Source organism: Homo sapiens, chromosome 6 (genome assembly GCF_000001405.40).
Source record: "Homo sapiens chromosome 6, GRCh38.p14 Primary Assembly".
NCBI lineage: Eukaryota > Metazoa > Chordata > Mammalia > Primates > Hominidae > Homo > Homo sapiens.
This window is the reverse complement of record NC_000006.12, coordinates 170,141,851-170,165,494: the sequence shown is the minus strand read 5'-3', so window position 1 is coordinate 170,165,494 and position 23,644 is coordinate 170,141,851. Positions and strand designations below refer to the sequence as shown.

Sequence of the window (23,644 nt, the reverse complement as noted above, 5' to 3'; positions counted from 1 at the left end):
GGGCTGCGTGGCCCCTGCGGGGAGAGAGCACCGGGGTGGGTGATGTGTGTGAGGGATTGGACGGACTGCATGACCCCACCCCGAAACACAAGCCATCCCCAGAGAGAGGCAGGCCTGCTGGGAGGGCGGCGACCATGGCTGGGGCTGGCAGGGGGTGGCCGGGACTGGGACGAGCCCACTCTCATGGGGTGAATCAGCAAGTCTGGCCAGAGTGCAGAGCAGCCCTGACTGACTCCCAACTCCAGCTTCCAGGCAGGAGCAGGCGGTGGCCAGCAGGGGTTCCTGTGAAGTCCCAGGAGTCTGTAGCTGGAAGTGGGCGTAGGGAGCACTGGATCCGTGCCTAACCAGGTGGCCATCCGGGTCCCTTGTGCTGGCTCTGGCTGGACCTCATGCCAGGTCACTGTGGGGATGGCCCCGGAAAAGGGCACCCTGGGGAGTCACTCCTGGAAGCTCGTTCGTTCTGACCTCTCGTTTACAGACCCTCCTTTACGATTTCTCAAAGTCTGAAGTTCTCCTTGGAGTGGGGACTGATTTCCTACTGCCGCTGTAATCACTCACTTGGTGGCTTAAAGCCACACACATTTATTATCCTACAGCTCTGTGGCTGGAAGTCTGAAAAGAGTCCCACTGGGCTAAAACTCTAGCTGTCGTCAGGGCTGGTTCCTTCTGGAGGCCGCAGGGAGAATCCTCCCCTAGCCCCAGGCCTCTTCCAGCCTCCAGAGGCGGCTGCGTTCTGTGGCTTGAGGCTGCCACCTCCACCTGCAGAGCCAGCCATGGGGCTCAGCCCTTCTCACGCACGTCCCCCCGATTCCTGCCTGTTTCCTCTCCCACGTCCAGGGACCCAGTGGCACCTCAGACCCGGCACAATCTCCCCTCTCGGGTCAGCTCAGCCGCGCCCTTCATTTCGTCTGGAGCCTAAATTGTGTTTTCCATGTAGCATGACACGTTCACCAATGCTGGAGTCTAGGATGGAACATCGTTGGGGGGCACCGCTCTGCCTACCACAGTGTGGGATGATGGTCAGAGAAGCCATGGAGATGAAGCAAACGTGATTGGCACAGCCGGCCACGAAGCCAAGGGCACCATGAGCACATGTGTGCTGTGAGCACCCTGCACACATGGCCATTCCGGGGTCATGTGGTAGGGGGGAGCGCATCTCTGGGAGGGGCCCCTGGTGAGCTCTGTGCTGAGTGTGGCCCTATCTGAGGGAAACAGGTACTTTAGCATGCGTGTGTGTGTGCTGTGTGTACACACATGTCCATGCACATATGCCTGCACGTGTGTATGTATGTGTGCACACTTCAGGAGTCAGAGGTCACCCCCACAGCGCTGGTACGTGTGTGTGTCTCTGTGTGTGTATACGTGTGTGTCTCTGTGTGTGTACGTGTGTGTGCACATGCTTCAAGAGTCAGAGGCCACCCCCACAGCGCTGGAGTGTGTGTGTGTGTGTGTGTGTGTGCGTGCATGAGCTTCAGGAGTCAGAGCCACCCCCACAGCGCTGGTGTGTGTGTGTCTGTGTCTGTATGTGTGTGCACATGCTTCAGGAGTCAGAGCCGCCCCACAGCACTGGTACGTGTGTCTGTGTGTGTGTGTGCGCGTCTGTGTCTGTGTGTCTGCGTGTGTATGTGTGTGCATATGCTTCAGGAGTCAGATCCACCCCCACAGTGCTGGTACGTGTGTCTGTGTGTGTGTGTGTACGTGTGTGTGTGTACGTGTGTGTCTGTGTGTGTACGTGTGTGTACGTGTGTGTGTACATGTGTGTGTGTACATGTGTGTGTCTGTGTACGTGTGTGCACATGCTTCAGGAGTCACAGCCACCCCCACAGCGCTGGTACATGTGTGTCTGTGTGTGTGTGTCTGTATGTGTGTGTGCATGTACGTGTGTGTACATGCTTCAGGAGTCAGGGCCGCCCCCACAGCGCTAGTACGTGTGTGTGTCTGTGTGTGTGTGTCTGTGTGTACGTGTGTGTGTACGTGTGTGTGTGCACACTCTTCAGCAGTCAGAGCCGTCCCCACAGTGCTTTCCCTGGCTTTTCTGCCTCATTCCTACAGGCTCCGCTGTGGTGACTGCAGGCTCCTGTCCCTGTAAATCAGCCCATCCTCAACACCGGCTCTTCACTCCTTGCTTCAACCACCTACAGTAGCTTCAAACCCCAGGAATGTGGTTATAAAAATGAAAATATGTAAAGTGAGACGCCATCTAATGCCACCCTTTTGGTGGAGAGCAGATTTAGGCTTAAGACAGCTGGTGCCTGAGCGTTTGCGAGTTCACGTTCTGAGGCTCGGGAATGCTTGCAAGTGGATATCCAGGCAGCAGCATCAGTCGGTGGTCTTAAAAGCAACAGGAAGACATTTTTGTGTTGCCAGGAGAGGCACATTTTATGACTTACTGTGCTAGAAATCTGCATATACAAAATATTGATGGAATGGAGTTAGGATTTTTAGGGTCAAAAAATACACACCAAGATAAGAATTGTAAAAATATAATGAACGGTTGGGCCAGAATTAGTACAAGCGGAAGTGACTGAAAGGAAGTTTGGTGACGGGAGGGTCCCTCGTTGCGGTTACTTTGGGGAGACTGTGAATCCTTGAGGGAGGGTGTGGCCTGGCTCCGCCCAGGGTTGGCCTCTGACCCGCTGTGCAGCCCCGGGCGACCCCCAGCGCTCAGGCCTCCGCGTCTTCATCTGAGGAGAGTGGGAAAAAATCCTTCAGAGGAAGGAGGGCTGCCATGGGGATGATCCTGAATCGCTGGTGTACCTGGAGTACCTGATGTGTGTCTGCTCCGTGAGTTCTCTGGGCGTTGGAGCTGCCGTTGTTACTGATGGCTGCAGCCCGTTGTTGGGTGCCTATGGTTGCCGAGCGCTGAGCTTGACCCGGGCTGTGTGCTGGGATCACTTCAGAGCTGCATAAAGCCCGGTGTCCAGGGCCGCATCCCAGACTGACTAAGCCGGGGCATTCGGGAGCAGAACGGGCTGCCAGGAGGCGCCCAGCACGTGGTCCAGGTCAGGGCCGGTGGCTGCTCCACTGGACAAATGGGACAAACGGGACTCAGGGCCAGGTGCTCTCCTGCCTCACTGGGAGGGTGACAGACGGTTGTGGTTGTTGGGACCTCTGGCAGAGCAGGGAGGGGACCGGAGCCAGAGGCTGAGACGGGCGAGTGGGATCAATACCAGCCAGCACCGTGGGCTTCAGTGCAGGGCCCTCCAGCCACCCTGCCCCAGAGTGCATTCTTGAGCTCCTGCTGTGGGGTTCTGAGTGGGGGGGTCCCTCCTGGCATCCCCCAGGGGCTGTCTGTGCCTGCGTTCCTCCTCTTGCCAAGTCCCGGGGACGGGGCTACATCTGGGGCTTCCGGATCCCTCAGACGCTGGTGAGTGCAATCCTTTGCACACAGAAGGCACTCAGTAAGAAGTGTTGAATTGGTTGACTATTCTTGCCAAATTTGTACATCTTTCTTTCTGTCCCCAACACCCTGGTATGTGGCAAGCCTTGGGGTTAAAGGAATGAGCCCCGGGGTGAGATCAGGAGGAAACTTTGCCCCCCTGGAACTAGCTGTGCTCTTGAACCAGTCACTTCGCCTCCCCATTTAAAAAGTGGAGATGGTGAGGCAGACGGATCACGAGGTCAGGAGATCGACACCATCCTGGCTAACATGGGGAAACCCCGTCTTTATTAAAAATACAAAAAATTAGCCGGGCATGGTGGCGTGCACCTGTAGTCCCAGCCACCCGGGAGGCTAAGGCAGGAGAATCACTTGAACCCGGGAGGTGGAGGTTGCAGTGAGCTGAGATTGCCCCACTGCACTCCAGCCCAGGTGACAGGGCAAGATCGTCTCAAAAAAAAAAAAAAAAAAAAAAAAGTGGAGATGGTAATTTCTGCCATCCTCACTATGTTAGAGGCTGTGGGGATCAAATGATAGATTTTTGCAAAATATTATACAAATACAAAGTCTTATCCCGGGCAATAGCACCCTAGTCCTAAGCCCAAGCTTTGTACCTGTCAGGTTCTCCTGGGAGGCCTCTCACACATCCAGGGACCCGCAGCCACGCCAGGCAGGGTGCTTTAGGCATAGCTGCAGCGCGGCCTGGCCTGCTGTGTTCGGTCCCTTGAGTTCTGAGAACGCCCTGCCTCTGCCTCCCCTTGGAGCCTGGGGTCTGTTTGGGCTCCTCCTCCCCTCAGTCCAAACCCTCTTTAAAGCCAGGTTGATGCTGACCAGAACCCAGTGTGACTGTGACCCTGGGCACACCGCGCCCCTTAATTTGTCAATTTGGGGAATTAATCTGTGGAAGAATGAGTGAGAGTCAGGGGTCAGGCCTGCTGGCTGGTTGTGCTCCACAGGGGGCTAATGAAGACCCCCCGGCGGGGAGGGAGCGAGGCCAGGAGGGTGCCCTGCCCCCGTTTCCTGACGGCCGGTCAGCAGGCTGTGGGGTTATCTGGGAGCCCCACAGCCCAGCCTGCAGGAGTCGTGGCCTGTCCTGAGAAGAGCTGCCTCTTTCGGGAAGTTCGAGCTTTAACTGTGGAATGGACTCTGACTGGCCTGTCCAGGGCAGCCCCCACACAGGAGCAGGCCCAGGAGTGCCCAGGTCCACCTGCCTAGACAACAGATTCCACCTGCCAGTGCCATGTCCCTGGAAAGGCTGCCCGCCTGCCTGAGCCACAGCCCCAGAGGGCCACTCACCTGCCCATGCACCCCAAGGGTGGCCCATCTGCCCATGTCCCTGGAAGAGCCGCCCAACTGCCTGGCCGCGCCCTTGGAAGGGCTGCCCACCTGCACATGCCACGCCCCTGAAGGGCCACTCACCTGCCCATGCCCCCCAAGGGTCGCCCACCTGCCCACGCCCCCGGAAGGGCCGCCCACCTGCCTGGCCACGCCCCCGGAAGGGCCGCCCACCTGCCTGGCCACGCCCCCAGAAGGGCCGCCCACCTGCCTGGCCACGCCCCCGGAAGGGCCGCCCACCTGCCTGGCCACGCCCCCGGAAGGCAGCCCACCTGCCTGGCCACGCCCCCGGAAGGGCCGCCCACCTGCCTGGCCACGCCCCCGGAAGGGCCGCCCACAGACATCCTTTTGGCTGAGTTCTGCTGCCTGAAAACTTCTGTCAAAACACAGAATCGTTTCTGGAAGTGAGACGATTGAACTGGTTTCTTGCCAACAGGTGTCCCAGAAGGAGCGTTCGCAGCTCCCTGGAGGCGGGAACGGAGTCCCCCGGGGAGAGAGTGGTCCAGGGTTTGCCCTCAGGCGTCCACACTGTCCGCCGGCGAGGCTGGTCCTGTTCCCAGCACCCACGCTGCTAGAGCCACCGGATCTCCCAGGAGGAGACCCAGCTGCACTCAGAAGAATCACGCTGGCCTAGGAGATGGACGGCGGCGTGCGGGGTGAGGAATAAAAGTCCTGCTGGTGCTGCCCGAGGCCCGGGTTGTGTGGACGGCGGGGGGCGGCACCGGTCTCTCAGTGCCCGGGTTCTGTCTACGTTCTGCCGCCTCCCTGGCCGTACCCGTACCGCTATTAAGAGGGATATGTTCACCGCTGCCCCACCCATAGAAAACAGACTCTGTGGTGCCCGTGAAAACACACGTTGGTGAGACTGGCACGCCCATGTCACGTGGCCTCATGATCACTCCGGGCTAGGCCCAATTTCCAAATAAGGGTGTGCCCACGGGTGCTGGGTCAGGACCCCTCGATTGTCACCCAAGAAGCCGTGCCGGGCTCTGGCCTATGCGACCTGTGGTCGTCTGTTACAGTAGCGGGAAGCAGCCTGGGGCCGTGGAGCTGTGCGGGGGCAGAGCTGGCTCCTGGGGTTTGAGGGAACGAGGGCCTCAGAGGGGGTCTGTGGAAGACGGGATCTGGGCAGCCCCTTGCTGGACGCTGAGCAACGTCGGACTGCAGCTTCCTGCCGGGACCTGACATGCAAACAGCAGAAACCATGGGGGCGCGACGCACTTGCTGGGGCAGGCGGGGTGGGCAGCCTGGCGCCAATCACCTCGGCTCTGCAGCCTGGAGCGGACGGGGCAGGGGGCTTCTGCTGCATCCGAGGGCCGAGCGTGGCTTTCCATTCCCAGCCAACGGGTCTGGAAAGCAGACCGCACGGGTCCAATAATCAATCATCCACTTAATCAATTAGGAGTATGCTAATGCAGGAGGATGGCGGGCGGCACTGCACAGGGCCCGGGCTGGATGCTGGTCCCCTAATCAGTGGCAGGTGAAGGGGCTGGGGCGGGCCGGGGGCGTCTCCGTGCTTAGAGGGAGAGGATGCCCGGACGTGGGCCTGGGGGCTCAGCCAGCCGCCTGCCCGCGAGAGGAGGCGCCGCTTTGTCCCGCAGTTACCCTGTAGGGAGGGCTTTCCTGGGTTGTCTGTCACTCAGCGCCAAGCGAGGCAGTTTCAGGGAACATTTTCATCACTTCTAAGACCTGGAGAGTGCACTGAGTCCAGCCTCGAAACGATCCCTGCTTTTCATCACAGAGGGTGAGTCTGCTGACTTTTGCCTGCAAACCCTGAGATGCGGTGACATAAAAAGTGAGAAAATCGCCATTCCCTCTCAGCAGCGCAGGTGAGCTTGAGAACCGCCTGCCCCCACGGGGCCGCAGCGCCCGACCCGTCTCTAAAACAGCAACAGCGGCGCCTGCACCGACGTCTGCTTCTAGGCCCGGATAACCTAATGCACCTTAACGCACTTTGCCAACGCTGCTGGGAGCACAAATGCGGATTTATTATAATTGACAATGAGTCTTGTTTCCATCGGTGCAGTGTAAATATATGTGAAATTTACTAGGAGAGACACCACTTTTTGCAAACTGTGATGCTATTTCCCTCTGAATTCAGCCAGTTGGAGCTTTTTAAAGCATCTCCCTTTCTCTCGGGGTGCGGGTGCCCGGTGTACTCTCCCTGTTGCCACCTCTGCCCGGCCCCTTTCCTGGAGGCTCCAGGAGAGAAGGCACACAGCTGCCCTCCACGCTTCCAGCTTCTCAAGGCTGCCCATGGCTTGCAGCCTCTGCCTTTGACCCAGCAACGCGGGTCGCCCTCCCCCACCATCTCTTGGTGGTCCCAGCATCTCAGGTCGGCCTCTCCCACCATCTCTCTCTGGTCCCAGCATCTCAGGTCAGCCTCTCCCACCATCTGTCTCTGGTCCCAGCATCTCAGGTCGGCCTCTCCCACCATCTGTCTCTGGTCCCAGCATCTCAGGTCGGCCTCTCCCACCATCTCTCTCTGGTCCCAGCATCTCAGGTCGGCCTCTCCCACCATCTGTCTCTGGTCCCAGCATCTCAGGTTGGCCTCTCCCACCATCTCTCTGTGACCCAGCAGCGCGGGTCGCCCTCTCCCACCATCTCTTGATGGTCCCAGCATCTCAGGTCGGCCTCTCCCACTATCTCTCTCTGGTCCCAGCATCTCAGGTCGGCCTCTCCCGCCATCTCTCTGTGACCCAGCATCTCAGGTCGCCCTCTCTCGCCATCTCTCTGTGACTCAGCAGCGCGGGTCGCCCTCTCCCACCGTCTCTTTGTGGTCCCAGCATCTCAGGTTGGCCTCTCCCACTATCTCTCTCTGGTCCCAGCATCTCAGGTCGGCCTCTCCCACTATCTCTCTCTGGTCCCAGCGTCTCAGGTTGGCTTCTCCCACCATCTCTCTGTGACCCAGCAGCGCGGGTCGCCCCCTCCCACCATCTCTCTCTGGTCCCAGCATCTCAGGTCGGCCTCTCCCGCCATCTCTCTGTGACCCAGCATGTCAGGTCGCCCTCTCCCGCCGTCTCTCTGTGACCCAGCAGCGCGGGTCGCCCTCTCCCGCCATCTCTCTGTGACCCAGCATCTCAGGCGGCCTCTCCCGCCATCTCTCTGTGACCCAGCAGTGTGGGTTGGCCTCTCCCACCATCTATCTCTGGTCCCCATGCCCCCCACAACCTGAGGGTCTTGGGGTTATATTGGGCCCAGCAGACCATGCAGGATGCTCTCCCCACATTGCAGGGCCCAAAGCTGTGTGGGGCTTTTCCTAATCATTCTTCTGGATGATCTGTATGAAATTCTCTCACTCCGTGGCACACAGAGACACATTTGAGGGCCAGCATGAGACCAGCTCAGAGGGTCACCCTTATGTGAAGGCCTCGGGCCACAAGGCTGTGGCTCACCTGTGGAGGTCCTCGCTGCTTGCTGGCAGAGCCGGAACCAGAGAGGTCTCTGGAGGGGCTGCAGATGTGGGGTGGGCACAGCCTCAGCCTCAGTGTTTGCTATGGTGTTGCTGCAGGCAGGAAGTGCCTCCGAGGGAATCTGGCATGGGGAGGTCATGGCCTGACGGGAGCCCTCGGGACCATGTGTGCCAGGCTCTGGGGGCCCTGGGGTGGAGCTCGGGCTCTGACCAGCTGGCCTGTGGCTGCCGGCCTGGGAACCAGAGTTGTGCATGGCTGCCTGAGACGGCAATGGCCTCGACTTGGAGTGTCTGGCCAGTGGCACGTCAGAGCCCGTGGGATTTAAAATGTCCTGGGCTCAGTCTCCCTGGTGGGAGCCCAGCCTTGGGGGGTCTGCAGGGCCCAGGTGATGCTGGGAGCCCAGACCCTTCGCTTCCTGTCTTCCCAGCAGCACCCCCAGTGCGTTCCAGGTCGTGCGGGCGCTGAGATGGGTGTGAGTGCGTCTCCTGCTGCCTCTGTGGCCCATGTGTGGCGCTGGAGTTCTGGAAGTCCTTAGAGTCCCAGGGGGCCCCTTCCCTGCCTCAGGCCCAAGTTCTGCACCATTCAGGCCTATGGTGTCTGCACAGGAGAGGGTGGGCGCCCACGCAGACAGGAGGCCCTGTGGGGGCTATGGGAACGGGCAGCTTCTCCCGGAGGACGTGTGGTCATAAAGCCCATCGTGGCTCCCGGGGATGAAGGGGCAGGTGACTCACAAGGGCCCCTTGGGGAACCCTGTGTCTACTCTAGGCCTGCTGCGATGGAGGTGGCATCTGTGCACCCCACCCCACAGCGGTGTCTGGCTTTCCTTTGGCTGACCATCCCCGAGCCCTGCCCCCTTCTGTGGAAGTCAATTCGGCTGAAGGCGTGGGGTGGTCCGCGTGCACCTGCCCCGCAGGGCGCAGCCTCCCTGGTTCAGAACAACTGCCTCCCACCCGAGTGGATGCCAGGCTTTCTATAGGAACATCCGTGGAAAGATTTTTCTTCTGAAATCTTACCCAGGTTCTCAACAGTTGGGACCAATTTAGCCCCAGCTTTATCACGGCCTATAAATTGGCTTCTCATTCTTTGGGTTTAAGATTCCATCCCAAGCATATAATTACTTCCCCAAACATGCTTTTATGCTCCTAAGTGACCAGACATCATGTCCCTAATCCTTTATCTTGATTAGAAATGGATCCCATATTTTAGTGGGTTGTCAGCCAGCCCCTCGCCCTCTGGACCCGCTGTCTGAAGTTGGCAGTGTGGTTGTAAGCCCGTTCAGTCCCGAAATAGCTGACCGCCGCTCACTGCATTTTCCATCTCAGCAGGACCGTGTGCGGCTGCAAAGCTGAGCTGTCGTCTTGCCTGTGGCTTCCGAAATGCAGCCCTGGGCCCTGTGATCGCTGCATTTTCTCTGCGCAGCTTTGAGGGACGGAGTGTGCTGACCAACAGAAGAAAGGCAAACAGCAGAAACTGACACTGTGGTGGCCACTGGACGTGGCCTCGGTCGGCTGCGGAGAGAGAATTTATTTCCACAGCGACCCTCAGGAGGCGCAGGTCTTGGCCAGACCCATTCTTAGAAAGGAACATGAGATCAGAAAGGCTTGTGTGTTGTTTTAAAACAAACCCTGCATCCACTGCTCACCTAGTCCTCTGTGAGGCAGGTGACACCTCCTCCTGAAGAGAATCGGGGCGTCCCGCAACTACCCCACTCTTCCCACTGCCTGTGCAGTGCAGAGCAGGACACACCTGCAGGGGCCAGGGGACAAGCGCTGGGTTCCGTAGAACGGTCCTGGGTCCTGTAGAGGGGTCCTGGGTTCTGTAGAGGGGCCCTGGGTTCTATAGAGGGGCCCTGGGTCCTGTAGAGGGGTCCTGGGTTCTACAGAGGGGCCCTGGGTCCTGTAGAGGGGTCCTGGGTTCTGTAGAGGGGTCCTCGGTTCTGTAGAGGGGTCCTGGGTTCTGTAGAGGGGTCCTGGGTTCTATAGAGGGGTCCTGGGTTCTGTGGAGGGGTCCTGGGTTCTGTAGATGGGTTCTGGGTTCTGTAGAAGGGTCCTGGGTTCTGTAGAGGGGTCCTGGGTTCTGTAGATGGGTTCTGGGTTCTGTAGAGGGGTCCTGAGTTCTGTAGAGGGGTCCTGAGTTCTGTAGAGGGGTCCTGGGTTCTGTAGAGGGGTCCTGAGTTCTGTAGAGGGGCCCTGGGTTCTGTAGAGGGGTCCTGGGTTCTGTAGAGGGGTCCTGGGTTCTGTAGAGGGGTCCTGGGTTCTATGGAGGGGTCCTGCGTTCTGTAGAGGGGTCCTGGGTTCTGTAGAGGGGTCCTGAGTTCTGTAGATGGGTTCTGGGTTCTGTAGAGGGGTCCTGAGTTCTGTAGAGGGGTCCTGGGTTCTATGGAGGGGTCCTGCATTCTGTAGAGGGGTCCTGGGTTCTGTAGAGGGGTCCTGAGTTCTGTAGAGGGGCCCTGGGTTCTGTAGAGGGGCCCTGGGTTCTATGGAGGGGTCCCTGGGTTCTGTGGAGGGGCCCTGGGTTCTGTGGAAGGGTCCTGGGTTCTATGGAGGGGTCCTGGGTTCTGTGGAAGGGTCCTGGGTTCTGTGGAGGGGTCCTGGGTTCTGTGGAGGGGCCCTGGGTTCTGTGGAGGGTCCCTGGGTTCTGTGGAGGGGTCCTGCGTTCTGTGGAGGGGCCCTGGGTTCTATGGAGGGGTCCCTGGGTTCTGTGGAGGGTCCCTGGGTTCTGTGGAGGGGCCCTGGGTTCTATGGAGGGGTCCTGGGTTCTATGGAGGGGTCCTGGGTTCTGTGGAGGGGTCCCTGGGTTCTGTGGAGGGGCCCTGGGTTCTGTGGAGGGGCCCTGGGTTCTGTGGAGGGGCCCTGGGTTCTGTGGAGGGGTCCCTGGGTTCTGTGGAGGGGCCCTGTGTTCTGTGGAGGGGCCCTGGGTTCTGTGGAAGGGTCCTGGGTTCTGTGGAGGGGCCCTGGGTTCTGTGGAGGGGTCCCTGGGTTCTGTGGAGGGGTCCCGGGTTCTGTGGAGGGGCCCTGACTCAGGGCTTGCCCAGGGGCATGGGCTTTTCTGGCCGATACTGCGAGGCCTGGGGCTGACAGCAGAAGAGCACGACCATGGAGGGAGGAGGCCGGGGCTGTGAGGACCCAGGAGGGCGAGGAGCTAGGCAGGCCATGCTGGAAGGCCTGTGTGCACCAGGGTCTTCCCGGCAGGGCTGGAGAAGACCCTCCTGGAAGGAACAGGAGGCGAGTGCAGCACCAGGTGCAATGACCCGTCTTATCCATCACTACCTGGCCTGCAGGCCTGGGCTGGGAGGAGGGAGAGCAGGCAGGCCTGGGCTGGGAGGAGGGAGAGCACACAGGCCTGGGCTGGGAGGAGGGAGAGGGGTGTGCAGCTTTGCCTGCTGGCTTCCATGTCTGCAGTGAGCCCAAGGGCCAGGATGGTGTGGGGGAGACGCCCCCTCCAGCCAGTACCCCTGGGGCCCTGGCCCCTACTGGCTTGTCTAGTGGGAAAGGACCTTCCCATGCACCCTGACTGGGCTTGTCAGTCCCCCTTTGTGCCTCCTGCAGATGGAGATGAGGGTGCAGTCGAAGCGCCCGGTGCCTGTGAGTGAGGACCCTCCCGAGCCCCTCGCTCTCCTCCGGGGACACAGGGCACCTCTGACTGCAGGCGCAGGGAGGAAGGTTGCTGTGGTCCTGGCGGCCCCTGCCGGTTTCCCAGCCTTGCTCTTTCCGCGGTTGCTTGTGGATTGGAGTCAACCTGGGCGCCCACCTACTGGAGTCCACTGGGGTGGGCGTGGGTGGAGGGGGCCTTCTGCAGAGCTAGTGGGGTGTTGTGGGGGCCGGTGTGCGGGTGCTCGGTGCAGGCCACCATGTGACAGGCGTGTCCGGCTCATGCAGGTGGGACTGGGGGAGTCATGGTTGTGAGGTAGCGATCGCCTCAAAGGCCTGACTTTCTGGGAATGGTATTTTTTTGTCAGATGTGAGCCTCTTACTAACAGCACATGCCTCCTTCCCCCTCCCCCACAGCCCCCATTGCCACAAACGAGGTGATAGAGGGCAGTCTTCAGCTTGGGGTTCACTGGGAGGCTCCCCCTCTGCGTGGAGATGGCTCGCTCTGGAAGTTCTGCAGGAGTGGGCTGGCCGCCAAACTCTCAGCACCTGCCGGCAGGGCTGCTGACTCATGCTGTAATGGGGACATTGATGTGTGAGGAATTTATGCAGCCGGGCGGCAGCCCTTCACTTTTCTAACAGTGAAGCACTTCACAGAGAAAACACAACGGGATCAAATCACAATTAGAGTCAGTCCCAGCTCCTGCAGGGCAGCCGCAGCCTGGCGGGCGGGCGAGCACAGGGCCTCCAGCCAGCCGGTGGGGGGGAGGTTGGGAGGGCAGGGCCAGAGCTCACCCCATAACCTGGCTTACTGGGGTGCAGGGAACAGCACGGGCAGCCTTGGGCCGAACAACCACCCCACGTTTGATCTGGCAGAGGAACGTCCCTCTTGGTACGGCTCGTCCTGAGCACCTGCGACTGGTTGCACGGTGTTGCTTCAGCTCAGGGCGCCCTGGAATCAGCTGCACCGTGTCCACCTCACAGCAGTCCCCAGCTCCAGATCCTCCAGGCAGGGACCTGGGACGGTGTGGGGCGGGGCTGAGGCTCTCTGGCAGTCTGAGGCGCTGGCCGGGGCCTCACCCGATGGCCCTCCCGCTCCAGCCTCCAGATGCCTGCCTGGCCTTAGAGAACAAAGGTAATTTGTAAAGAGATCAATAGGAAATGCTGATCAGACAGTCACAATGCGCCTTTGCCTGAGGACTTGAATTCCCGCTTCAAGAATCTGTGGCTTCCGCTGCTCAATGCTGGGGACAGACGTCAGGGGACTGTGGACGTCATCGGCCGAGTGACTATTTCCTTATGACCAGCCTCTCTCCGAGCTGATTTTCCTGTTCTGTGCTCTCTCAGCCAAGCTGTTTGAGGTTTGGCTCAGGAAACTAGGCCAACAATGGAATTCAAAGACAATCCCACCAAAGAGAAAACCAGCAGGGTGGGCGACGCCTGGGCTCCAAGAACCGGTGGGGAGCTCCATTTCCCTCAGATGGAGCGTTTCCTAACCCCGGGGCAACTTTCCCGAAACATGGCAGGCTTGCCTGACCCAAATAGCCCCTCATTCTTGGCTGCACTTGTGACCACCGGGCCGAGCTCCTCGGAGGCGTGGACAAAGGAGGCCTTGGCGAGAACAGGGTTCGGTGGCCAGTGGGTGGAGAAGTCGGTGCTGGCTGCGCCGTGGAGCCCGTGGATCAACATTTGCTGAGGACCTCAGTGCGGAAAGTCGTGGTCGCACTTCCTTCCGGGTCTGCTGAGCTGCCACTCACGGCGGGAGAGTTGGGACGTCCTGGAATTCTGGAAAGCCTCCTGCTCTGAAGGAGTTCAAGGTTTTCCTGTCCGGTCTGACATCCCCAGACGTTTGCCCTGCTAGGGCTGGAGAAAGGTGTCCAGGCATTGAAGGAACAATTTGAGGGACAATCTGGCTTTTTTTTTTTTAACAGTTCTTTTCTAAACACCTCAGAATGAATGAAACAAAGTCCTATTTATCACTAGAGATGAAGACACATCCCTGATTTACGTTGCCACGTGGGGAGAAGTGCTTTGTTTCTACTCAGCAGAAGGAGACAGGGGCAGGCGGGAGGAGCTGTCTCAGGAACACCAGCCTGGGTTTCCCACCCTCCCTGCTGTGGCTCTCAGCTGATCCGAGGCTGGCCCAGGAGAGGAGGGAAGCATGCCTGAGACTGCTCTGTCTTTCTGCTCCAGCAACAGAGAGCCAAAGAAAAGACACGAGGCCCAAAGTATCACCTTCTAAATCACCTCCCTCAGCTACTCCCCCAGGATTTCCAAATACCCAGGTTCCCCTCGGGAGCTGCCTGGAGCTGCCTCTGCCGCCCGCTCCTCTAGGCGTCCATGATGAGCCCAGGGCTTCCCCCTCAGGAACCAAACCGAACTGACTGTCTTGGTTTTCTCCTTGTTCTCCACGAATCCTCTGCACATTTTAACCTTCCAGGCAGCAGCTATGAATCCGTTCCCAGAGCCAGGCTAGACAATACAACACCCATTTCCCAGCTGCTTGCAGCTCTTGCATTAGCTGGGAAGCAGATTTACCTTAAGGGAATTTACCACCCTTAGAATTTTTTTTTTTTAGAAAAATATACATTTTTTCTTTCCTTTTAAAAAAGCCTTCAGGCTCTTGCTAACTTCACAACTGGAGCCCTATCAGAAAAAGGCAAGTTGTCAAATGGCAAATATGAAGTCCATGTTGTTGAATTGTGAGCGCCGGGGGAGAATAGAGGGGGCTGTGGAGCTGTCTCGGGGTCAGAGCCCTGCGGAGACGCCAGGGCTGGGCGGGCCTGAGACCTCCGCCTGCAGTCAGCAAGGCCCCCTTGGCTGATGGACCTGAGAATTTCTGTGTTACTTCTTTTTATTTCTGCATGCTTCACGTCACACAATTTTCGAAAAGTGGCAATAGAACCAAATGATAAAAGCAATTCTAGGATAGAGCGTCTTGCTTTCATATGAACAGCATTCCATCTAAGACGGTTCAACACTTCCTAATTCCTGTCCACCATCTTCAGGGTTCCTTGGAGTGGTGGCCCCCTGGTGACCAGCTGGCACAGTGATTTGATCATGTCCTCACAGCTCCTGTGTTGGAAATTTAATCCCCAAAGCAACGGTGTTGGGAGGTGGAACCTTGAGTAGGTTCTGAGGCAGCAGTGCCCAGCAGTGCCCGCCCCAGGTGCCCCGTCATGATCCCTGGGTCCCCAGCCCCACCTGCCCATCTCTCTCCAGCTCCGGCTTCACTGTGTACTGGGGATTATGGAGATGATGTCACGGAACTTTCTGGGATTCTCCCGTGAATTGCCAGAGGCAGCACCTGGATCACTGTGTACACTGATGGCAGAGTTTGCAGCTCCTCCAGCAGCTGCTGCCCAGGCCGCCCTCCACCCACACTCACCCACATGAGGGGCCTGAGGACTCAGGGAGGGATTCCTCCTCCCCAGAAGCCACTGGGAAGTGAGTGAGGCTCTGTCTGCATTGCAGGTAGTGGAGGGGCGGCTGGCAGCAGGCTTGTTGGCAGGAGGTGAGCCTCTGTCTACACTGTAGGCAGTGGAGGGGTGGCAGGCAGCAGGCTTGTTGGGGAGGGTGAAGATCTGTCTACACTGCGGGCAGTGCAGGGGCGGCAGGCAGCAGGCTTGTTGGCGGGGGATGAGCCTCTGTCTACACTGTAGGCAGTGGAGGGATGGCAGGCAGCAGGCTTGTGGGGGGGGTGAGCCTCTGTCTACACTGCAGGCAGTGGAGGGGCAGCAGGCAGCAGGCTGGTGGGGTAGGTAAGTCCCTGTCTACACTGCAGGCAGTGGAGGGGCAGCAGGTAGCAGGCTTGGCGGTGAATGAGCCTCTGTCTACACTGCAGGCAGTGGAGGGACAGCAGGCAGCAGACTTTTTGGGAGGGGTGAAGCTCTATCTACACAGCAGTCACTGGAGGGGTGGTGGGCAGCTGGCTTGTCAGGTAGGTGAGGCTCTGTCTACACAGAAGGCTTGTGGTGGGGGGTGAGGCTCTGTCTACACTGCAGGCAGTGGAGGGGTGGCAGGCAGCAGGCTTGCTGGGGAGGGTGAAGCTCTGTCTACACTGTAGGCAGTGGAGGGGCAGCAGGCAGCAGGCTGGTGGGGTAGGTAAGTCCCTGTCTACCTGCAGGCAGTGGAGGGGCAGCAGGCAGCAGGCTGGTGGGGTAGGTAAGTCCCTGTCTACACTGCAGGCAGTGGAGGGGTGGCAGGCAGCAGGCTTGTTGGCGAGGGTGAAGCTCTGTCTACACTGCAGGCAGTGGAGGGGCAGCAGGTAGCAGGCTTGGCAGTGAATGAGCCTCTGTCTACACTGCAGGCAGTGGAGGGACAGCAGGCAGCAGACTTTTTGGGAGAGGTGAAGCTCTATCTACACAGCAATCACTGGAGGGGTGGTGGGCAGCTGGCTTGTCAGGTAGGTGAGGCTCTGTCTACACAGAAGGCTTGTGGTGGGGGGCGAGGCTCTGTCTACACTGCAGGCAGTGGAGGGGTGGCAGGTGGCAGGCTTGTGGTCGGGGGTGAGGCTCTGTGTACACTGCAGGCAGTGAAGGGGCAGCAGGCTTGTGGGGTGGGTGTTGTCCCACGCCCTGCCCTTACCCTCTGAGGCCTTTTTCTTGCGTGAAGCATGAAGGGCGACTTTGCGGCTGGAGCCTGGTCCCGCTTCTTCCCATGAGTGTTTTGTTTTCCCTCCTGCGTGGTTTTTAAATGAAAGATGAGTAGACATGTGCAGGCAGCAGCTTCCTGAGCTCAGTCTGCATTCCTGTTGGTCTTGGTGGGGACAGTGGCTCTTCACCCCTCCCCCACCTAATGCTCACCTGGTGTGTCCACTGCCTCAAGACCACGTGGGGGACTGCAGGTGACAGAACGGCCCCCTCGCTCTTTCTCGCAAATGCATAGGGACTGTGCACAGGTGCTCTCTGCCTGGAAAGAAGTGGCCGTTGGGCAGCTCAGGAGAGACTCGCACCACGGCGGGGTGGCCTCCTACCTCAACGCACCTGGGGAAGATGTCCCTCTGTTTGTGTAGACAAACACACTCCTCCTACATCTCAGCTGCTTAAAAAAATACTTAGGTAGTTCTACTTCTGACTTATTATATGTAGATACTTGGGAAATTAAAAAAAATCTGAGCCTCAAATTGGTTAGGAATTTACAGGAGAGATTTCAGGCAGGTGTGCTATGGTTGTCTGTGTGAAGTATAACCAAGCCTGGCATTGCCTGTGAGATCCATCGGTGGAGGCAGATGGGCACCGCGGCGTCAGGAAAGGGAATCCTGGCTGGGTTGCAGCACGGGCTCCAGCTGGCTGGGCCTGGGGTACGTGTTGGTAGAAGGCAGAAGGAGTTGGTGGGAGCCACAAAATGGTAAAAAATAAACAGGAGAAGCTGTCTCAGTGGGGAAGGAGGTCGAAGTGTGGGCCAGTGGGCTGGCACAGAAGAGAGTGTCACGGGGCGCCCACATCCTGTGCTGGCCCAGACAGGCAGCTAAAGAGGGGTCTGCGGAGGAGAGGAGAACCCGCCCACACCTCAAAGCGGCCACCAGGGCTGACGGCTCAGGGACAGGATGGGGAGGAGGAGGGATGGGGCTTCCGGCAGAGCTGTCCTGCTGGCTGGAGAGACGCCGGCAGAGCCAGCAAGCGCCAGCCAAACACTGAAGGGTGGATTTAGGGCCCAACCAGCGGAGAGCAGCAGTCTCTGGGCACCATCGGGGCGAGACCTGGGACCTGGAGGGGTGTAAAAACTAGAGGCGTGTCCAGGGCCGAGCTCGGGGGGTAAATGGAAGCGAAAGCTTGGTTCTCTGAATGAGAACTTCGGAAATTTCACACCTGGTCACAACTGAGGCTTGAATCGGCTCAGGAGGAAGCGTCCGCTCCCCACACACAGCAGCAGCCCCACACGAGCTGTGGGAGAGGCACGCAGAGACCTGTGCCCTGCCCTTCATTTCATACTTAACTGGAAACACAATACTGATCGGAACCTTCAGTTTTAGTCAAAGCTGGAGCGATGATACGTTGCTGCCAACACTAGAAACGGAGCTCCTGTGGGCTGTCAGCTGAATCAGAGTCCAGCGTTGGCTTAGCCCAGCACAGGAATGGCCTTGCCAGGGGCTCCCTGTGCTGGGATCGGCAGTGACCTTGGGTGTGACCTCCTGGTGTGTTTTTCTCTATTTGCAGCCATGCGCACGCTGGCTGGGAGACCACGGCGCTGACCTGATGGCTGGGTCTTTCCTGCTGCCTGAGCTGCTGTGGAGAACATTTCTCAACAGCGTCCCCACTCCTGCCTGGCCATCGAGACACTGCCCTTGTTGGGACCAAGGTCTCCCTATGTCCGTCCTGGCTGCACCTGCGGGGCCCCTGGCTCCACCTGGTCCTGGCTGTTGCCTTGCTCACCCTCTGACGCTCACATGTCCATGCTGGCTGGTGGCTTCTTGATGCTGCAAGCTTAGTGAACACACAGGAATCCTGCTCCTAGGGCCAGCACACCCTCCGTGGCTCCTTCCTTGGCCTCACTGTAAAGCAAGCTGGCAGCAGAGTCAGGGCTCTGGGACGTCTGAGAAATCTTGGGCACCAAGCGGCCCCCCGGCCTCCCCTTCTCTCCTGTTTCCTCCTCTCTCAGGCTATGCTTGGCATTTGGGAACCACGTGGCACCGTTGGCTCCTCCCTCCTGCTGCGGTCATGCCAGGATGCTGCTGCCTGGCCCTCATCTGTCCGGATCGGTGCCGCCTCCTTTTCTTCCCCGGGAGAGAAACTGGAGTCCCAGTTCTGAGGCCTTGCTCCGAGCTCGGTACCCTCCTGTGCCGACACCTGCCCCTGTTGTCCTGTTGGGACCTTAACATTCTGCAGCCAACCTTTGGACTAAGTGTGTGCAGAGTCTCCATGCCGCGTCTTGCCCCCGAAGACTGGCCCTGCCTCCGCAGGCCTGGCTGCCGTCTGGGTTGGTGTCCAGGGAGTGGGTGTCGAGCTCTCCCTCAGCTGCCACAGCCCAGACCTTCCTGACATTGCTGCTTGGAGCAGAGGCCTGGGCGCGACCCCTCTGTCTTGGCAGAGGGGGTGACTCTCACTTCGTGTTTGTCAGGGAAGAGGTGAAGTGTTGAGAATCTGGTCCTTGGAGTGGGCACATCTTTGGGGAGCAGCAGGGCCTGCTTCAGAGTTTGTTTCCTAAATAAAACAATGGCTCTCCAGTGACTTCTCCTGTGCCCTCGATTGTTTTTGAGGCTGTTGCACTTTTAAAGAGCAGTGTGTCCACACCACCGTTCCTGTGGGCCCACTGTGGGGACAGCTGCTGAACCTTCCAGGACACACCTACATACCTCATCCCACCTACACCTCTCACCCTCCTACACACCTCACCCTCCTACACACCTCACCCTCCTACACACCTCACCCTCCTACACACCTCACCCTCCTACACACCTCACCCTCCTACACACCAAACCCTCCTACACACCTCACCCTCCTACACACCTCACCCTCCTACACACCTCACCCACCTACACACCTCACCCTCCTACACACCTCACCCTCCTACACACCTCACCCTCCTACACACCTCACCCTCCTACACACCAAACCCTCCTACACACCTCACCCTCCTACACACCTCACCCTCCTACACACCTCACCCTCCTACACACCTCACCCTCCTACACACCTCACCCTCCTACACACCTCACCCTCCTACACACCTCACCCTCCTACACACCTCACCCTCCTACACACCTCACCCTCCTACACACCTCACCCTCCTACACACCTCACCCTCCTACACACCTCACCCTCCTACACACCTCACCCTCCTACACACCTCACCCTCCGCAGTGTGCTTATCACCACTGCACCCACGCTTGTGGCTGCAAGGAAGTCCCTGGCTGATGTGAGTCCTCCTCCCACACACTGGGGCCCATGGCTTTGGTGTCTAGAAAAGAATGACAATAAGGTCAGTACAGGGCAGGCTGGTCAGACCACCTTGATGAAAAAAAAGACAAGATGGGGCTTTCATCACAAAATGAGCACCACCCTTAGACTGTGCCCGTTTTCTTTTCTGAGAGAGTCACTTTTGTCTTATCAGACCCAATGTAGGAGTGGCAAAAATGTGGATCAAAAACGTTACAGACAGAGTCTATGGCACAGGCAGGGAGGGCCGGGTGCAAAAACAACACAAAACAAATGAACAAAAGGGAACCTGCAGCAAAAATGAGGAGGGTCCCAGTGAGCTCCAAATGCTTCCAGAGGGACCAGGAGTTCAAAAGGAGAGTTCTGGTCTCCCCTCCTCTCCCTGCTCTCTCCTTCCTCCCCAGCTCCACTTGGTGACCTGGGCAAGCAGAAGGAAGGGCTGCAGAGCGCCCGCTGGGGCAGCTACTGCCCTCAGGACACAGCAGAAGGTTTACCTGGAAAAGGCCCAGGGGAGACAATGTTACAAAACCTGATAAATGTGCTGCACTTTGCTCGCAAACCCAAAGTCACCAGGGTGCATGCTTTAGCTTCATTAATTGAATAAACTATACAGAAATTACTGCCATAAACATTGAAAAGCACCCCAGAAACCGCTGTTCAAGAAGTTTACCTACACAAATTAAGTCCTTGAGCATATGATGCAAAATATTTACCTAATTACAAGGGCGAGAGTCAAAATGTTTAGTCACTAGTAAGTCTTGCCTACAGTTAATCAGAATGAGTCATGAGTTCAGTAGAATGGGCATGAACCATCAGAACAGGAATCAAACATAAGAACGGGAACCAAACATCAGAACAAGCACCAACCATCAGAACAGGAATCAAACATAAGAACGGGAACCAAACATCAGAACAGGCACCAACCATCAGAACAGGGGGTACCAACCATCAGAACAGGAACCAACCATCAGAACAGAAACCAACCATCAGAATAGGAATCAACCATCAGAACAGGACACCAACCATCAGAACAGGAACCAACCATCAGAACAGGACACCAATCATCAGAACAGGAACCAACCATCAGAACAGGAACCAACCATCAGAACAGGAACCAACCATCAGAACAGAAACCAACCATCAGAACAGGCACCAACCATCAGAACAGGAACCAACCATGAGAACAGGAACCAACCATCAGAACAGAAACCAACCATTAGAACAGGCACCAACCATCAGAACAGGCACCAATCATCAGAATGGGAACCAACCATTGTAATGGGCATCAAGCATCAGAATAGGAACCAAACATCAGAACAGGGCACCAAGCATTAGAGTGGGCACCAATGATCAGAACAGGAACCAACCATCAGAACAGGAACCAACCATAAGAACCAGCACCAACCATCAGAACAGGCACCAAGCTTCAGAATGGACACTAACTTACCTGAAGAGGGTGCCAGCAAAAGAAATGGATTGGCCATCAACAACTTGTATAGCTGAACATCAACCCTGACTTATTTTCAAAGTTCGTAAGCAGAGTTTTGGTTTTGCTTTCCTTTTTAACATTATATTTTGTACATTTTTCTTTATAACAATATTAAGGGTTTTTGAAGTATATTTGCATTTACCTCCCGTATGAGGCCATCCTAGCATTGCTATAAAGAAATACCTGAGACTGTGTGATTTAAAAATAAAATGATTTAATTGGCTCACAAGTCTTCACATTTTACAGGAAGCATGATGCTAGCATCTGCTTGGCTTCTGGGGAGCCCTCAGGAAGCTTCCAATCATGACAGAAGGTGAAGCGGGCAGGTCATATGGCCAGAGCAGGAGCAAGAGAGAGTGGAGTGGGGGGCACACACTTTTAAATGACCAGATCTCATGAGAACTCCTATCAGGAAGACCAACCAGCATGAGGGATCTGCCCCCATGACCTGAACACCTCTGGCCAGGCCCCACCTCCAGCATTGGGGATTACAATTCAGCATGAGATTTGGGTGGGGACAAATGCCAAAACTACATCATCTTCTTAAAAAGTTTTAAAACCAGCAGCCCTCTGTCCCTTCCCCTCGCAGCCCCAGTTCTGCACCCCAGAGGTAACCTTTAAGAATAATGTGCTGTTTATACATTTTCCACAGTAAATGCCTGTTTGCATGTTCAAATGTTGGTGACTTAACTCTTGCAGGAGCAGGAGCCTTCCCCGTCCTCACTGAAGGCGCACCGTGGCTCTGGGTGCACCAGGCTCATGGGGCTCTCACAGCTGAGCCACGGAGGGAACTGTCATCACGTCTTTGCACAACCTTTAGCTTGTTCCTGGACTACTAATCGAGTCAGTTTCATTTCCTAGATCTCTCTGCACTGACCAGTGCATTTTTGCAAACGCTTCTGCAGGTCTGTGGAAGGCCTGGCAGGGATTCTGTGGCTCGGCGAGCTCCCGTCTGCATTCCCCCTCGCTGCCCCTGAGGTCCCCTGAGCCCCCGACCACCCCAGGCAAGGCTGTTTACCGAATTCCACAGCTGCTCTTTCTCAAGTTGTCCATTCTTTCTGCCGGAGTACATCCTCCAGTATTTTCCTAAGGAGAATTGTATGGGAGGAATATTTTTTGAGTCCTTGTGTGTTGAAAAATATCTTTGTTTTGGCCTCAGACTTCATTAGTAGTTTTCTTGGTATAAACCTCTTGATGGAAATAATTTTTTTCTCATAACTTTCAGGTGATCTTTTGTAGGCATTTACTATGGCTGTTTATAAGACCAATGCTATTTTTTTAAAATAAACTTTTTATTTGGGAATAATTTTAGGTTTTTAGAAAAGTCACAAAGACAGTTTGGGGTTCCCTCACAGCCCCACTCAGACGCCCTGTGTTCAGCAGTGAGCATGGTCAGGACATCCTGTGACCTGCACCCCAGGAGCCACCCAGGGGCCTCGGTGCCTCGTCCCTCCTCAGGCTCCCCTTGGCTGTGGCAATTTCTGTCTTTTGTTTTTGTGTTTGGTTTTTCATGAGTTTGACACTTTTGAGGGGTACTGGCTGAGTATTTTGTAGAATGTTTTGAATTTGCATTTGTCTGATGTTTTTTCAGGGTTACCCCGGGGTTATGAGTTTTAGGGAGATCCTGGGGACGGGGGGAGGTGGTACACTCTGGCATCACCCACGGCACGTGCCGCCACCGGGGAGGCTGACCCTGATTCCCGCCCTTCCTGGGTTTAGGGTCAGGGCTGTTTTAACTCCAGTTCTTTTAGATGTGATCTAGCCATTTTTCCTTCTCTGGAGAATATGATTTTGGCTCCCAGTATTCTGAATGTTCACAGTGATAAGGAAATTAAACTCCTAAGTACCATTATCGTTTTTTTTTTAATCACTATCTATTGATACAACCTATGGAATGGGAGAAAGTATTTTTGAACCATTTATCTGATCAGGAGTTAATATCTAAGATATATGAAGAATTCATACAATTCAATAGCAAAAACAAAATAACTTGCCTGAAAAAACTGAGCAAAAAATCTGAATAGATGTTTCTCAAAAGTAGACATATAAATGGCCAACAGATATATTTTAAAAGATTCACCATCAATAATTATCAGAGAAATGCAAGTCAAAACTGCAATGAGATATTGCCTCTCACCTGTTAGGCTGGCTGTCTTTAGAAAGACAAAAGTGAGTGCTGGTGAGGGTGTGGGGAGGGAACCCTGCACACGGCGGGGATGTCAATTGGTGCAGCCATTGTGGAAACAGTCTGGTGCTTCCTCAAAAACCTAAAAATACCCAGCCATGCGATGCAGCAATCCCACTTCTGGGTGAACATTCAAGGGAAATAAAATCAGTGTCTTGAAGAGACACCTGCCCCCTTGTTCTCCACAGCCCTCTTCACAACAGCCAAGTACAGGACCAACCTAAGTGTTCATCAGTGGGTGAACGGAGCAAATGTGGATCGTACACACCGTGGAAAACGATTCAGCTTCAACAAGGAAAATCCTGCCATTTGCGACAATGTGGATGGATGTCCTGTTACGTGAAATGAGCCAGAAACAAGGACAAATACCTCGTGA

The 23,644-nt window shown here is 56.6% G+C and overlaps 2 long non-coding RNA genes and 1 other non-coding gene across 5 annotated transcripts, besides 5 other annotated features; 1 reads left to right on the top strand and 2 right to left on the bottom strand.

Annotated features, from left to right (window-relative positions):
* Positions 532-1,469: an enhancer, noted in NCBI's record as "H3K4me1 hESC enhancer chr6:170479250-170480187 (GRCh37/hg19 assembly coordinates)". NCBI's record gives its function as "activates a minimal SCP1, AML or CMV promoter by ChIP-STARR-seq in primed H9 embryonic stem cells {active_cell/tissue: H9 hESC(primed)}" and the evidence as "EXISTENCE:reporter gene assay evidence [ECO:0000049][PMID:30033119]".
* On the bottom strand, positions 2,468-4,853 carry LOC102724511 (uncharacterized). The gene is made up of 3 exons (NR_125878.1): positions 4,799-4,853; positions 2,767-3,024; positions 2,468-2,684 (listed from the first exon to the last, which is right to left on the bottom strand). It is a non-coding gene; the product is annotated as an uncharacterized LOC102724511 (long non-coding RNA).
* Positions 4,000-4,864: an enhancer, noted in NCBI's record as "H3K4me1 hESC enhancer chr6:170475855-170476719 (GRCh37/hg19 assembly coordinates)". NCBI's record gives its function as "activates a minimal SCP1, AML or CMV promoter by ChIP-STARR-seq in naive H9 embryonic stem cells {active_cell/tissue: H9 hESC(naive)}" and the evidence as "EXISTENCE:reporter gene assay evidence [ECO:0000049][PMID:30033119]".
* On the top strand, positions 5,051-9,727 carry LOC105378153 (uncharacterized). Of its 2 annotated transcripts, none has more exons than XR_943322.3 (3): positions 5,051-5,370; positions 6,456-6,543; positions 9,453-9,727. It is a non-coding gene; the product is annotated as an uncharacterized LOC105378153 (long non-coding RNA). The 2 variants fall into 2 exon arrangements; XR_943321.3 differs by having other exon boundaries at positions 9,450-9,727.
* Positions 12,055-12,958: an enhancer, noted in NCBI's record as "H3K27ac-H3K4me1 hESC enhancer chr6:170467761-170468664 (GRCh37/hg19 assembly coordinates)". NCBI's record gives its function as "activates a minimal SCP1, AML or CMV promoter by ChIP-STARR-seq in naive H9 embryonic stem cells {active_cell/tissue: H9 hESC(naive)}" and the evidence as "EXISTENCE:reporter gene assay evidence [ECO:0000049][PMID:30033119]".
* On the bottom strand, positions 14,558-18,253 carry LOC101929614 (proline-rich receptor-like protein kinase PERK10). Of its 2 annotated transcripts, none has more exons than XR_245646.5 (3): positions 18,092-18,253; positions 16,305-16,397; positions 14,558-14,792 (listed from the first exon to the last, which is right to left on the bottom strand). It is a non-coding gene; the product is annotated as a proline-rich receptor-like protein kinase PERK10 (transcript). The 2 variants fall into 2 exon arrangements; XR_001744488.3 differs by having other exon boundaries at positions 18,106-18,253.
* Positions 17,152-17,321: a silencer, noted in NCBI's record as "silent region_17801". NCBI's record gives its function as "represses an Ori minimal core promoter by ATAC-STARR-seq in GM12878 lymphoblastoid cells {active_cell/tissue: GM12878}" and the evidence as "EXISTENCE:reporter gene assay evidence [ECO:0000049][PMID:35858748]".
* Positions 17,485-18,289: an enhancer, noted in NCBI's record as "H3K4me1 hESC enhancer chr6:170462430-170463234 (GRCh37/hg19 assembly coordinates)". NCBI's record gives its function as "activates a minimal SCP1, AML or CMV promoter by ChIP-STARR-seq in naive H9 embryonic stem cells {active_cell/tissue: H9 hESC(naive)}" and the evidence as "EXISTENCE:reporter gene assay evidence [ECO:0000049][PMID:30033119]".